The 15,899-nt window shown below is 36.3% G+C and overlaps 1 protein-coding gene and 1 non-coding gene across 24 annotated transcripts in view; both read left to right on the forward strand.

The window, feature by feature from the left end:
- Nucleotides 1-15,899, forward strand: part of NAALADL2 (N-acetylated alpha-linked acidic dipeptidase like 2) — a 1,369,567-nt gene that overhangs the window by 925,688 nt on the left and 427,980 nt on the right. The window lies entirely within an intron of this gene.
- Nucleotides 2,871-2,952, forward strand: MIR4789 (microRNA 4789). Its single transcript, NR_039952.1, has one exon. It is a non-coding gene; the product is annotated as a microRNA 4789 (primary transcript).

Genomic DNA, 15,899 nt, shown 5'->3' on the forward strand with positions numbered 1-15,899 from the left:
TCTGTTCATATCCTTCGCCCACTTTTTGATGGGGTTGTTTGTTTTTTTCTTGTAAATTTGTTTGAGTTCATTGTAGATTCTGGATATTAGCCCTTTGTCAGATGAGTAGGTTGCGAAAATTTTCTCCCATTTTGTAGGTTGCCTGTTCACTCTGTTGGTAGTTTCTTTTGCTGTGCAGAAGCTCTTTAGTATAATTAGATCCCATTTGTCAATTTTGTCTTTTGTTGCCATTGCTTTTGGTGTTTTAGACTTGAAGTCCTTGCCCATGCCTATGTCCTGAATGGTAATGCCTAGGTTTTCTTCTAGGGTTTTTATGGTTTTAGGTCTAACGTTTAAATCTTTAATCCATCTTGAATTAATTTTTGTATAAGGTGTAAGGAAGGGATCCAGTTTCAGCTTTCTACATATGGCTAGCCAGTTTTCCCAGCACCATTTATTAAATAGGGAATCCTTTCCCCATTGCTTGTTTTTCTCAGGTTTGTCAAAGATCAGATAGTTGTAGATATGCGGCGTTATTTCTGAGGGCTCTATTCTGTTCCATTGATCTATATCTCTATTTTGGTACCAGTTCCATGCTGTTTTGGTTACTGTAGCCTTGTAGTATAGTTTGAAGTCAGGTAGCATGATGCCTCCAGCTTTGTTCTTTTGGCTTAGGATTGACTTGGCGATGCGGGCTCTTTTTTGCTTCCATATGAACTTTAAAGAGTTGTTTCCGATTCTGTGAAGAAAGTCATTGGTAGCTTGATGGGGATGGCATTGAATCTATAAATTACCTGGGGCAATACGGCCATTTTCACGATACTGATTCTTCCTACCCATGAGCATGGAATGTTCTTCCATTTGTTTGTGTCCTCTTTTATTTCCTTGAGCAGTGGTTTGTAGTTCTCCTTGAAGAGGTCCTCCACGTCCCTTGTAAGTTGGATTCCTAAGTATTTTATTCTCTTTGAAGCAATTGTGAATGGGAGTTCACTCATGATTTGGCTCTCTGTCTGTTATTGGTGTATAAGAATGCTTGTGATTTTTGTACATGGATTTTGTATCCTGAAACTTTGCTGAAGTTGCTTATCAGCTTAAGGAGATTTTGGGCTGAGACAATGGGGTTTTCTAGATGTACAATCATGTTGTCTGCAAACAGGGACAGTTTGACTTCCTCTTTTCCTAACTGAATACCCTTTATTTCCTTCTCCTGCCTGATTGCCCTGGCCAGAACTTCCAACACTATGTTGAATAGGAGAGGTGAGAGAGGGCATCCCTGTCTTGTGCCAGTTTTCAAAGGGAATGCTTCCAGTTTTTGCCCATTCATTATGATATTGGCTGTGGGTTTGTCATAGATAGCTCTTATTATTTTGAGATACATCCCATCAATACCTAATTTATTGAGAGTTTTTAGCATGAAGCGTTGTTGAATTTTGTCAAAGGCCTTTTCTGCATCTATTGAGATAATCATGTGGTTTTTGTCTTTGGTTCTGTTTATACGCTGGATTACATTTATTGATTTGCGTATATTGAACCAGCCTTGCATCCCAGGGATGAAGCCCACTTGATCATGGTGGATAAGCTTTTTGATGTGCTGCTGGATTCGGGTTGCCAGTATTTTATTGAGGATTTTTGCATCAATGTTCATCAAGGATATTGGTCTAAAATTCTCTTTTTTGGTTGTGTCTCTGCCTGGCTTTGGTATCAGGATGATGCTGGCCTCATAAAATGAGTTAGGGAGGTTTCCCTCTTTTTCTATTGATTGGAATAGTTTCAGAAGGAATGGTACCAGTTCCTCCTTGTACCTCTGGTAGAATTCGGCTGTGAATCCATCTGGTCCGAAAATAGTTACATTTTACAAACGAATCTCTAACACATTTTGGTATCTTTTTTTATACTTTGAAAGGACTGTAGCAGGTGTGTGTGAGTGTGTGTGTGTGTGTGTGTGTGTTTATAGCCAGTATGTATATATGTAGCAAATACGTTCATGTGCCATTTAATAATGGAGATGCTTTCTGAGAAATGCATCATTAGGTGACTTCATTGTTGAGAGAACATCATAGAGTGCACATAACACAAACACATTGTGTAGCCTCCTAAACAACTAGGTTATGTCGTATAGCTTATTACTTCTAAGCTACAAACCTGCATAGCATGTTATTGTACTGAACACTGTAGGCAATTACAATGCAGTGGTATTTGTATATCTAAACATATCTAAACACAGAAAAGGTACAGCGAAATATGATATAAAAGATTAAAAAAAATTGCCACCCCTGTATAGGGCACTTTTCATGGAACTTGTGGGAGTAGAAGTTGCTCTGGGTGGATCTGTGAATGAGCAGTGAGCAAATGTGAAGGCCTAAGACGTTACTATGCATTACTGTAGGCTTTATAAACACTGTACACTTAGGTTACACTAAATTTGTTTTAAAAATTAAGTAATTGCACTAATGTCACAATGAGAACAATGCCACTAGAGTTTTTCAGCTCCACTATAATCTATGGAACCACCCTCATGTATGTGATTTGTTCTTGAGCAAAATGTCATCATGCAGCACCTGACTGTATATATATGTAGCAAGTATGTGTGTGCCTGTGTGCGCGTGTGTATATATAAATGTTACATTTACATACACCTGATATGTGCATGTGTAATTATATATGTAACAAGTATGTGTGTGCCTGTGTGCGTGTGTGTACATATACATGTTACATTTACATACACCTGATATGTGCATGTATACATATATAGGTAACAAGTATGTGTGTGCCTGTGTGCGTGTGTGTACATATACATGTTACATTTACATACACCTGATATGTGCATGTATACATATATAGGTAACAAGTATGTGTGTGCCTGTGTGCGTGTGTGTGTATGTGTATATATACATGCTACGTATGTATACACCTGATATGTGTATGTGTAAATACATATCCACACACATAGCAGGTGTATATATAGGTAGCCTGTGTGTGTGTGAGTGCATGTGTGTGTATGTGTAGCAGGGGTTTTGTGTTAGAACCAAGAGCTTGGAACTGGTACAATGAAAATATTTTGCCTGAAAGATATGCTTAGTAAAAGTCCCAAGTTTCACACATTTTTGAGGCTCAAAGTGAAGAACTCAAAGTGAATTATTAGGTAATCATATCTACTTCTTCCTAAACCCTTCATCTGATTGTGTGCTAAAATTTAATACTAACTGATCTTTCCATCTCCATAAAATTCTTTGAGATAACAAAATCCTACATTCCGGTTTCTGAAGGATGGTATTCTGCAAATGTGAAAGTTTCCCTTAACCTCCAAAAAATAATTGGGTTAATCCAGCTACCACAAGTGTGAAATTGAGAAGCTGCTTGCTAAGATTGAATTTAATATTGTCACATGTCATCTGAGAGCTGCTTGTCTGATCATGTTGCCACTGGACAAAGTAAGCCTTACTACAAAGGATAAAAGAATGATTATTTCAATATCCAGTCATAGTTCATCATCAAACTCTGAGTAAAATGGAGAAAAAAAGACGTTTTATCTTATATGACTCTATGCATTTCTCTGGGAAGTCATTTATCTGGTTGCTATCCAGGAGAGCAAAGATAATGGGAAAAATCTTCCACTATTCTCAACTATAATTTTAAATATCAAATTTTAATAAAATAGGTTTTGGTTATTTCTTTTAAAAGCCCTCAATATAAGAAAATGAAATGTTAGAAACTTATTTTATAAAATATATTTGTGAACCATAAAACCCCATATAAAATGGAAATTATTATCACCATTAACTACTGATGCTTCTAATCTTATTCTGTAATGGTTAAAAAATGACTAGAATTTAGAGTTACTGCCAATATATGGGGGGGGGAGGGATTTTATAAAAATAGCTTTATTCATTTGCATGTTAAGCAAGAGTGTGATTACTGATGGCCGTAAGAGTCACTTGCTGCTTTAAGCTCTGCTCTGCTGCTGACTCTACATGTGTAGCTTTGAGAGGTCCTTTAGCCCCTCCAGCTTTCCACATAGGCAGGATGTGGCTATTGTACTTGATGATATGCCAAACATGCTTCTGATTCCAACATTCGATGGTTCTGTGATATTTCTACCTTATTACAAAAGACATTCACTTTAAAAGTATAAACACCGTAGTAACTTTTTTTCTTTCATTGTTTTCAATAAAAGGGTAATGGAAGTAAACTGACAAGTTTAGGAGGCTTTCAGAGCATAAAGGAGAAAGGCTGGCAGCTCTTGAGAACCTCTTTGCTTTCAGCTGAGAGCAAGTAGAGAATGCTTGCTCTCTGGCCCTGAATGTCATAACATTATGTTCAGAATCATTGAAATGTCTGACAACACTGTTGATTAAAAATGAGAATCATTAGGCCATGTCTGCCGTTATAGGATGAAGGGTAGTTTGAACAGTATGGAAAAAAACTATCCCAAAAGGATGATTTGTCTTAGACAATATTACCAAAATTTCAAATTATACTATGTATAGTAATTTGCAGTAATTCACTTTTTTTTTATATTTAGCTTCATCTTAAAAGTTCTCCTTCATTGGTAATGCTTTGAAAAATGCTGGATTTAGAATTATGAAGAGACTATCAACTAATATTATGGATGATATTATTATTATTATTATTTTTTGAGACGGAGTACTCGCTCTTTCGCCCAGGCCGGACTGCAGTGGCGCTATCTCGGCTCACTGCAAGCTCCGCCCCCCGGGTTCTCGCCGTTCTCCTGCCTCAGCCTCCTGAGTAGCTGGGATTACAGGCGCCCGCCACCGCGCCCGGCTAATTTTTTGGATTTTTAGTAGAGATGGGGTTTCACCGTGTTAGTCAAGATATGGATAATATTATTTAGAAACCATTCTGTGTGCTACAAAAGTCCTTTGAGAATGATATGAGCTGGGCACGACGGCTCATGCTTGTAATCCCAGCTCTTTGGGAGGCCAAGGCGGGTGGATCACCTGAGGTCAGGAGATCAAGAGTAGCCTGGCCAAGATGGCGAAATCCCGTCTCTACTAAAAATACAAAAATTAGCTGGGTGTGGTGCAGGGGCCTGTAATCCCAGCTACTCAGGAGGCTGAAGCAGGAGAATCACTTGAACCCAGGAGGCGGAGGTTGCAGTAAGCCAAGATCATGCCACTGCCCTCCAGCCTGGACAACTCCATCTATTAAAAAAAAAAAAAGATAACCACTAAAATGGCTATTATTCATCTTTCAAAATCTGTAATACCTGGAAGTTCTGCATGACCTTTAGGAAAACTACATCCACAAAGCGTTCCTTCTAGTTTCCTAATAAGTTTTAGAAGAAATATTGCCATTCTGAGCTAAACTAGTTCTACTTCCTTAGGGCAAATTCCTACCATAACATGAAATAGACAAATATAATTACTCTAAAAAAAGTCCAGCCATAGCATCTTAGAGTTTAAAGGAATAACCCTTAGGAGTTCACAAAATTTTTTTTCCACTGCTTCCTAGGCAGACCTCATTTAGTGTAGCTGGCGTGTTGCCCTGCAGACTTTACTGAACTGCTAGTACAGGAGTCGCTATGTTTTTAGCTAGCCCATTCAGTTTTTGTAAAGCTCCATCATTACATTTTTCATCATACTGACCTAATACCTAGCTATATTTAGCTTGCTCACGCTCTGCCTTCTGGAGCGAAAACATGCATGTCTGTGCATTCTCTATATCTACCTAGTATCAGTTAGAGTTTCGTGTTTTCCTTCATGTAACAGAAAACTCATTAACAGTGGACTTCTCCAAATACTTCTCTAAATATTTTTCTCACAAAATGAGAAATCGAATGAAGCGTTGGTGTTAATTCAGTGTCTTGAAGATATTAGACCCAAGCTCTCTGTCTTTTCCTCATGGTTGCTGATAAAGGCTGAAGCTATAGTCATCATTGTAATATTCCACTTGGAGAAAGAAGAAAGGCACATGCCCACTAAGGCTAACTGATCTTTTAAAGGGTCTGTTCTTAAAGTCCTGACCAACATATGCCTCATTGGCCTTAACTAAAATGGGATTTGATGAAATACATTTTATACCTGGGCACGTTGCCATACTCAATAGAATTGTAATTCTATTAATGAAGAAGTAAGGAAAAATTGGGGTAGTATCCAGCAGTTTCTGCCACACTAACCTTGCAGTATTTTAGGATGGCTGTAAGATCCCAACTAAGTTTTCCCTTTCTCTGGCTAAAAGCAATTCCAGTTACCTTGAGCATTCTTTTTGCCATCTCTCATTATGAGCATCATCATCTTCCCAAAGTGAAGTGCTTTCTTAAAATATGTTAGAAAGAACAGGACATAGTATTACGTTTGTGGCCAGACAGTGGTCATACTGTCTCCTGATCTGTACTTAGTGTGTTTTTGTTCAGGCAGCCTCAGAATGAGGAATAATTTTGGTAACTACTTGGCTGCAATTGAACATGCAACCAATCAAAGCCATATGAAATTGTTTTACATGGAATGAATTGAAGCTCAGATTTCCCTGTTCCATATTAATTTTTTGTGAAACATATTGAGAAGTAACTTAAATATAAAAAAAAGCACCCAATTAAATGTAAAATTTGTTGAGTTTGGCCAGTGTAAACAGTTGTATAATCATGACCACAAACAAGATACAAGGAACGTTTTTAACACCAAAAATTTATCTTATGTTCCTTTTCTGTCAATCCACTGCCACCTAATCTAGTCTAACCGCTGATCTAATTTGCATTAATAAAGATTTATTTTGTCTATTCTAGAACTTCTTATCTATGGACATATGTAGTAATATGTCCTGTAGTAATATGCCTGGCATTTTTTGCTCAGCATGTTTTTAAAATTCATCCATGTTGTGTTTATCATTAATTTGTTCGTGATTATTGCTGAGTATATTCTATTTTATGCTCATATCAGTTTGCTAATCCATTCTTTTGCTAATTGTCATTTGGACTGTTTCCAGTTTGAAGCTATTATGAATCAAGGTAATATGAATGTTCACGTACAAGCCTTTTTGTAAACATAGATTTTCTTTTCTGTTAGCAAATATGCAGGAGTGAAATTGCTAGGTCACATAGTAAGTGTATTTTAACTTTATAAGAACATGCAAATCTATTTTCTAAAGTGGTGGTACTGTATTACACTCCCACCAGTAGTATATGAGAGTCTCCTTGCTCTACATCCTTGAAACACGCATATTGTCAGTCTTTATTTTAACAATCTAATATGTGTGTATTTGACTCTGATTATAGTTTTAATTTTCATTTCTCTGATAACAAATGATTTTGAGCATGTTTTTTATGCTGATGGACTTAGTATATCTTTTTATGGAAGAATCTGTCTATGCATATTTCTCTGTATATATGTGTACATACTTTTTCTTACTATTGAATTTTTTTATATATTTCAGATGCAAGCCATTTGTCAGATATACATATTGCATATATTTTCTACCAATTAGTGGCCTGAATTTCATTTTCTTTATAATTACTTTTTAAAAACCAGTTTAGAGTTTCGATAAAAGATAAATTTATTTATTTTTATTTTATTGCTCATATTTTTAATATTGTGGCTTACAAATCCTTCTCCTTTCCCTATCATAAATACGTTTTCTTATTTTTTCTTTTAAAAGTTTTATATGCTTGGCTGGGCACGGTGGCTCATTCTTGCAATCTCAGCACTTTGGGAGGCCGAGGTGGGAGGGTCATTTGAGATCAGGAGTTCAAGACCAGCTTGGCCCACATGGTGAGACCTTGTCTCTTCTAAAAATACAAAAATTAGCTGGGCTTGGTGGCGGGTGCTTGTAATCCCAGCTACTCAGGAGGCTGAGGTAGAAGAATTGCTTGAACCTAGGAGGCAGAGGTTGCAGTGAACTGAGATCATTCCAGTCTGGTTGACAGAGTGCTGAGTACCACTGCATCTCCAGAAAAAAAAAAAAAAAAAAAAAAAAAAAAAAAAGAAAGTTATATAGGCCAGGTGTGGTGGCTGTAATCCCAGCACTTTGGGAGGCTGAGGCAGGTGGATCACTTGAGCCCAGGAGTTTGAGACCAGCCTGGGCAACATGGAGAAAACTCATCTCTGCAGAAAATGGAAAAATCAGCTGGGCATGGTGGTGCATGCCTGCAATGCCAGCTATTCAGGAGTCTGGGGTGGGAGGATTACCTGAGCCTGGGGAGGGAGAAGCTGCAGTGAGCTGTAATGACACTACTGCACTCCAGCCTGGGTGACACAATGAGACCCTGTCGCAAATAAATAAATAAATAAATAAATAAATAAATAAATAAATAAATAAGTCAAGTTGTGTAGTTTTACCTTTTACCTTTAGAATGCACATTTGTGTAAGGTGTGCTTGAAAATACATTTTTTCCCATATAGTTAGAAAGTTAGCCAACAGTATTTACTGAAAAAATCTTACTTTTCTTATTGATTTACCTTGGCACTATTGTTGAAATCAATTGCTCATATAAGGTTCAGTCTACTACTGGACTCTCTATTCTGTTCCAGTGAGCTGTTTGTTTATTCTTATAGCAATATAACCAAATTGATCACACTAGTTTTGTAGTTAGTCTTGACATTTTTTTAAAAAGTGCTAGTATTCTTAATTTTTTTCTCTTTCAAAATAATGTTAGTTCTTAAATGCTCCTTGAATTTCAATATAAATTTTAAAATAAACGTGTCAATATCTATAACATAGCCCATTAGAATTTTTACTGGGATTGTGTTGAATGTACAGAGCTATTTGGAGATGACTGAAATACAGCATTAGCAGTGTTGTGTCTGCCAACTTATCAACCTGAAAAATCTCCTAATTTATTTAGGTATTCTTTAATTTGTTTTTCAGCATTGTGATTTGGAGCTCTATTATTATGTGTGTACCTATTTAAGTTTGTTATATATTCTTGATAATTGAACTCTTTATTATTCTAAAATGTCCAGTTTAAATCTCTATTAGTATTTCTTATCTTGAAGCTTTGTCTGATATTAGTACAGTCACTCTAGCCTTTTCCATCCTTTTAACCAATCTGTCTTTATATTGAAGGGAGTTTTGTGTAGATAATATATAGTGAATTCCGCTGCTTTATCTACTTTGACAATTAATTTGTATGTTGTTCTCATTGACATTTAACCTAAATATTAATATGTTTGCCTCACATTTACCGTATTCCTATTTTCTATTTTTCCCATTTGTTCTTTGTTTTCTTTTCCTTCCTTTGTATTATTTGTTAATTGAGTATTATATTTTAGTGTTCATTTTACCTCCTCTATTGACATTTTAGCTATGCATCCTTTTTCTGCCCTACCCTCAGTGGTTGCTCTGTGGTTTACAATATGCATTTTAAAATTATTTCAGTCTACAAATAAGTTGTTTTTCTATTTCATATATAATGTAAAAACTTCATGACTGTATACTTTCATTTTTCTCTCCCATATTTTGTTGCATTTTAGAATGCTTAATTCAGCAATTGCTATAGACCAGATTATATATTGTTATTATTCTCATTTTATACAGCCAACTATCTTTTAAAGAAACTGAAAGAAAAAAAGTATTTTTATACCCTCCTAGTTATCAATTTCTTCATTTCTTTTCGTATCTCTGAATTTCCATCTGGTAACCTTTTTCTTCACCCTAAAGAACTTATTTTAACATGTCTTGTGGTATCAGTGACTAATTCTTTTTTTCTGCTAAAAATTGTTTTATTTTACTTCAATTTTTACTTGAATTTCATTTTAAAGGATATTTACTTCAATTTTAAAGGATATTTATAATATAGAAGGCCTTTTTCCTTATTTTTTCTTTCATTGCTTTAATGATGTTGTTCTATAGACTTGTGGATTACATTGTTTCTGGTAATTTGTCTCTATCTTTGTTTTCCTGTATGTGGAAAGCAACTGTTTTATTCAGGGAGCTTTTAAGAGTTTTTATTTATTATTGACCTTAAGCCATTTGGTTATGATATAGCTTGGTGTTCTGTGTGTTTATCTAACTTCATGTTCTTTACACTTTTGGGGTTTGTGGACTGTTATGTTTCATCAGAGTTGGGTATTTTTTCTAGCCATTTTTATACTCAAATATTTTTCTCCTTCCCCCATTTGAAAGTCTGGTACTAAGTTTACATATATTGGATAGCTTGCTATTATCCCACAGTTTACTGAGGCTTTGCTCTTTTATATCAGCCTTTCTTTTTATTTTACCATGCTTCAGCTGGGGTTGTTTCTGTTACTATGACTTTACATTTACTGAACTCTTCTGCAGTTTCTAATCTACTGTTAATCCCTCCCAGTAAATTTTTCATTTCGGGTATTCTGCTTTTTTGATTTTAGGAGGTTCATTTGATATTGTTAATAGTTTGTATTTATTTGCTTACCTGGCCTTCTTTTAAAAAAAAAAAATTATTGAATTTAGGCCAGATGCAGTGGCTCACACCTGTAATTCCAGTACTTTGGGAGACCCAAGCAGGCAGATTGCTTGAGGCCAGGAGTTCAAACCCTCCCTGGCCAACATGGTAAAACCCCATCTCTACTAATAATACAAAAATTAGTTGGGCCGGTGGTGCACACCTGTAATCCCAGCTACTTGGGAGGCTAAGGCTCGAGAATCGAATGAACCCAGGAGGCAGAGGATGCAGTGAGCTAAGATCGTGCCACTGAACTCCAGCCTGGGTGACAGAGTGACACTCTGTTTCAAAAACAAAAACAAAAAAATCATCAAATTTGTTTATAATAGTTTGGGGTTAATTCATCATCTCTGATATTATCAGTTTTTTTTAATTGTTGTTCTTACTTTTTTCTTAGGATTGTTACTTGTTTTTGCTTCTTCACATCTCTACTATTTTTGCTTAGATACTGAACTTTGTGAATGTTACATGGCTGCACATACAGATTTTGTCTCATTCCTTTAATGTTATTGATGGGGACGGGGGCAGAGAAATTCTAGGCAGACAGGGGCCAGTCCCTGGCAAAGCCCCACTCTCAAGCATAAAAACCTGTGACCATGGCCCACAGTGAGAACTTATATCCCTGTTTTCCTGCTGAAATGTGTCCTTTTCCTAAACCACCCATGGCCTGTACTGCACCCCATCCTGTGTCTATAAAAGCCCCAGAATCAGCTGACAGACAAGGAGCAGCTGGACATCAGAGACTATGTCTGGACATTAGAAAGAAGCAGCTTGACTTCAGAGGGACAGCTTGATGGTGTAACTTCAGAGAAGAATCCAGCTGGAGACTTCCGGACTTCAGGGGAAGATTACCTTCCCACCCCATCCCCTTTTCAGCTCCTCTTCCTACTGAGAGCCACTTTCATTGGCAATAAACCCCGCCCCCTGCATTTACCATCATTCAAATCATTCCTGTGACCTCATTCTTCTGGATGCTGGGCAAGAGCTTGGGATCCATGAGTGCAGATAAAAGAGGGCCCTCTGAGCTGTTAACACTTAAGCCGTCCACAGATGGCAGAGCTAAAGGAGCACTGTAACACTCCCTCTGGGGCTTCAGGGGTCACAGGCACCCCCAAGTCCAGACACTGCCATGGGGCCTACACAGAGTTTGCTCTTGCCGACACCCAAAAGCACTCACCCTGGCTCCTGCACCTGCTTACCTGTGCGCTCACTCCCACAAGGGGTGGAGCAAAGCAGGTGGGAGTTAATGGAGTTCACCTCTGCTCCTGCACTCCAGTTCCCGCCTCATTCACTCACACACTCCCTCCTGCAGGGAGTTGAGAGCTGTGGGCTGAGTAAACTAGGCACCCTCTTCGCAGGTCCTGCAAAGGGGTCAAGTAAATATCCTGCTTCATTATGTTGTGCTTTGTATTGCATGGTGGTTCATTTAGTCGTGAACCTCAGTAGTCTTTCACTTTGTGTTCCTTGATAGTGATTGTTCACTTGGCCTTGTTGAGTCTCACTCAGTGCATGCACAGCTTAGATTGCATCTGAAGTCTCAAGGGCACCCTTATGCAAATTTCTGGAGTACTTTCTATGTGAAGCTCCCACTTCCTTGTACCCTGTCCTGCAAATACCAGCAGTCATAGCCTTTTCAAACTCTGATATTGTCTTTTTAGCTCAACACAACTGGAAAGTGTTTCTGGGTGGAAAACTTGGACAATCATAAGACTCACCTTGTTGCCTCATTTCAGGATTCAAAACATGTTACTGTCTGAAAACAATAGTGTCCCGGTTTCTAATTGTTTACACTGGGAGAGATAATCCTGCACCTGTTAGTTCATCATGGCTAAGAGTAGATAAACTTTAGGCACTTATAAATGCAGGACATCACAGTTAGTCTTAGTAATTTGTAACTTGTAGGTTGAAATCCACCTTTTCAACATGTCCACATTATTTGGCTCTTACCTAACACTCCAAGATTTTTATTGGTTGCATATTTTCAAGTGCCCAGCTTGTTTCTACCACTGGAGAATAGGCCCATGGGTGCTGAGTACAAAAGTAAGCTCCATGACTCTTTGTGATTAAGTGTGAATTTTGTGGACAGATTGCCTGTCCCCAAATTTTGGACCCACTGGTTAAGAGATTGCATCCTTGGGCAAGTTACTTAACCTGTTTCTTCCTCTCTCTTTTTTTTTTTTTTTCCTGTAGAATAGTCTTCTTTCATTATTTTCAGTTAGCTCATAGGCATGTTGTGAAAAATAAAGGAGTTAAAATATATGCAAAGCACATAGGACAGCATCTGCTACATACAGTTAAAACTATTATTATTAATTCTGACCCAAACTACAAACTATCCATATTCTCACTTCTTATCTACCTGTCTTTTCAGCTCAACACAACTGGAAAGTGTTTCTGGGTGGAAAGCTTTAGGCACTTACAAATGCAGGACTTCACATTTTGACTTAGTCTGTTTTTACGTCTCGTATGGTTTCTGGTAACAGTTGTCCACAATCCACATCTTTTTGTTTTTTTTTTTTCCTTTTTTTAAGATGGAGTCTCACTCTGTCACCCAGACTGGAGTGCAGTGGTACAGTCTTGGCTCACTGCAACGTCTGCCTCCTGGGTTCAAGCGATTCTCTTGCCTCTGCCTCGGCCTTCTAAAGTGCTGAGATTACAGGTGTGAGCCACCACACCTGGCCCACAGTCCACATCTTAATTCCCTCATTTTTGTAAATATTCCTCAAAGGTTTGTCTGATTGAATATGGCTTATTATCAAGGCTGTGATCCAGATAGCTTTATATTTCCCATCCAAATTTCTGATTAAAGAGTACCAAGAATTAAATTTTGTAGAATGCCACAGAGGGATTGGTGGAAGGTTGTGTATGTTTACTCAGAGAAGCATATTAAAATACTGACATCATTCTCAGCAAACTATCACAAGGACAAAAAACCAAACACTGCATGTTCTCACTCATAGGTGGGAATTGAACAATGAGAACACATGGACACAGGAAGGGGAACATCACACACCAGGGACTGTTGTGGGGTGTGGGCAGAGGGGAGAGATAGCATTAGGAGATATACCTAATGCTAAATGACGAGTTAATGGGTGCAGCACACCAACATGGCACATGTATGCATATGTAACAAACCTGCATGTTGTGCACATGTATCCTAAAACTTAAAGTATAATAATAATAATTAAAAAAATAAATTAATTAAAAAAATACTGACATCCATGTCCCCTTTTCTTCCTCCACCATCATTCTTACCATCTACCCCACAAGGTTGCCCTAGAATGTGCATTTTGAAAGAATGTCTGTGTGTTTGTTATATGTATTTTTCTCTCTATCCACAATGTGAGAAATATAGCAACAAATGCATTTCTCCAGCTTGACACTTTTCAGTGTCAGCATTCAATAATACATAAATTTTACCATTTAGGTCTCATTTTTCCATTTTTTTCCGCAAAGAATTACAGACAAAAATAAAGTCAAAATTATTGCTGAAATTTCTGTATAAAATACCTACAACATCCTTTCAAGCTCTCAATTAAGTATCCTTATGAAAATAAAGAAAATAATACAAACTTTTTCATAGGTAAGCCCATACCATGCTGTATTTTAGAAAACAATCCCTTTTTTCTAGATAGGCAGAAATGCAGAAATCATATATTTAGTAATATACTGTAGAATTTTAAATAAAGCTTTTTATGTTTTGAGAAACTGCAAAAAATATACTGTCTGAAAGTATATATTACAGATGCCATTTAACTACATGTCTTTGCCTATGACACTTTCCATTTTACAGAGTATACGAACTCTGTGTCTGAAAACTGAATATGATGAAATCTGAGTATTACTCAATTATAAAGCTTTAAATATTGTTTTTTTTTAAATTTTCAACATCTTTTATCTATGGAGATATTTCCAACTTATGAGACAAGAGGTGCTAAGGAATTAATAAAAATTACCCTTTACTGTATAAGACATTTGTTATGAGAATATGTCTCTTTTTTAACATTACATAAAACACTAAAAGAAAGGTTTTATAATGAACAACCTGAAAATATATTTTATTGCATAATAGAAATACTTTGTAAGCATCTTATAGTTCAGATCAGATTAATAAAATATAATTTAGTATCCATTTGTACAAACTTTCTACAGTTATTATGGCTGAATAAATGTTTCTTATGCATTCTTAAAGTATTTTGGTTATTAAATTCAAAAACATTAATGTTTTACTTGTTTTCTATGCAAAATAATTATTTTAGTTCTATCTGACAATTTAAACTTTAGTTGTAGAGGGGAAAGCAAATAAATGCAGTATATATTTCTCCCATGTAAAAAAGATTAGTTACAGATCAATTTTGCATTTTTTATTGTCTAAAAATATTTTCTCTATTTAATAATTCCTGAAGTATGTGTATTTTAATATTTGTTTTAAGCCTCAAAAAATCATATTTATTAGTAATGATTCATAATAATCTTCTTAAATTATTTACATATTTTAAATATCTCATTTAATATGTTTTAAGTGCTCTTTTTACTAATGCATATTTTAATTTCTTAGCACATTTATTTACTGAATTTCTGTCATGATAATATTATAGAGCGATAATGAGTTTAGACAGTTTTTCAGTTCCTTTAAATAAGAACTCACAAAAAAATTAATGATTTGGCTTATATGGTTAAATTTTTTGTTTTTGTCTTAGAAGGTAATTGATAGGTACAATTTCATGTGAGTAAATTCAAAGAATAGCTGAGTGTAAGTTTTTGTGTGACGTGTGTCTCATTGTGGAGCAACAAGTGACTGGCGGGTTTGGGACAGTGAGAACAGCCATAGGTAGTGGCAGCAGCGGGCCTGCATGCTGGGATTTTGATGCCACCTGTCAGTGTGATGAGATTGCTCTTTTGAAGGATGGTTTTTGGTGCCCTAGTTTTCCTATTAACCCACTTACTACCATACTGCTCACTTTCCCTTCTCTGGGACTAACTGCTGTGTCTTGTCCTGTCTTTGAAATAGAATCTTAAACACTCAGTGGAAGCTCTTAATTTAGGATATTGGTACCACGGGAGGGGAGCGCCTTAGAGAATTGAAGTACTCTTGTATTTTTTCACCTTCCAGGATAAAAGCATACTGTTTGGATAAGCACTGAAAATGGTTCAAGGAAAGAGTCCTAGCTAAAAATAGAAAAATAAATGAAGTCAAACATGAAGAAATTTTTCAAATGGTTCATGAAACAGTATGACATTATTTTACACTTCCTTAAAAATTGAAGATTTTGAAGGGTAAACACATGCCTGGTGGTCTGAGGCAAAAGTCCTCATGCTTGTGAAATAAATATTTGTAGACAGGAATCTTTCTGTTTATTTGTTTTTTTAAATATGTTTTGAGAAAATAATGGAAACTCTTAAACACTGCACATAAAATTTAGAATATATTAACATTTAAAATAGTAATTTGCCATCTGTTCTTTATTGAATTCAGAAAAGATGAATATCCACAATACAAATGACCCATGGTTATAAGAAAGTATCACTCTTTGAGCCAAGTGAA

This window comes from Homo sapiens, chromosome 3, assembly GCF_000001405.40.
Source record: "Homo sapiens chromosome 3, GRCh38.p14 Primary Assembly".
In the NCBI taxonomy this organism is placed as follows: Eukaryota; Metazoa; Chordata; class Mammalia; order Primates; family Hominidae; genus Homo; species Homo sapiens.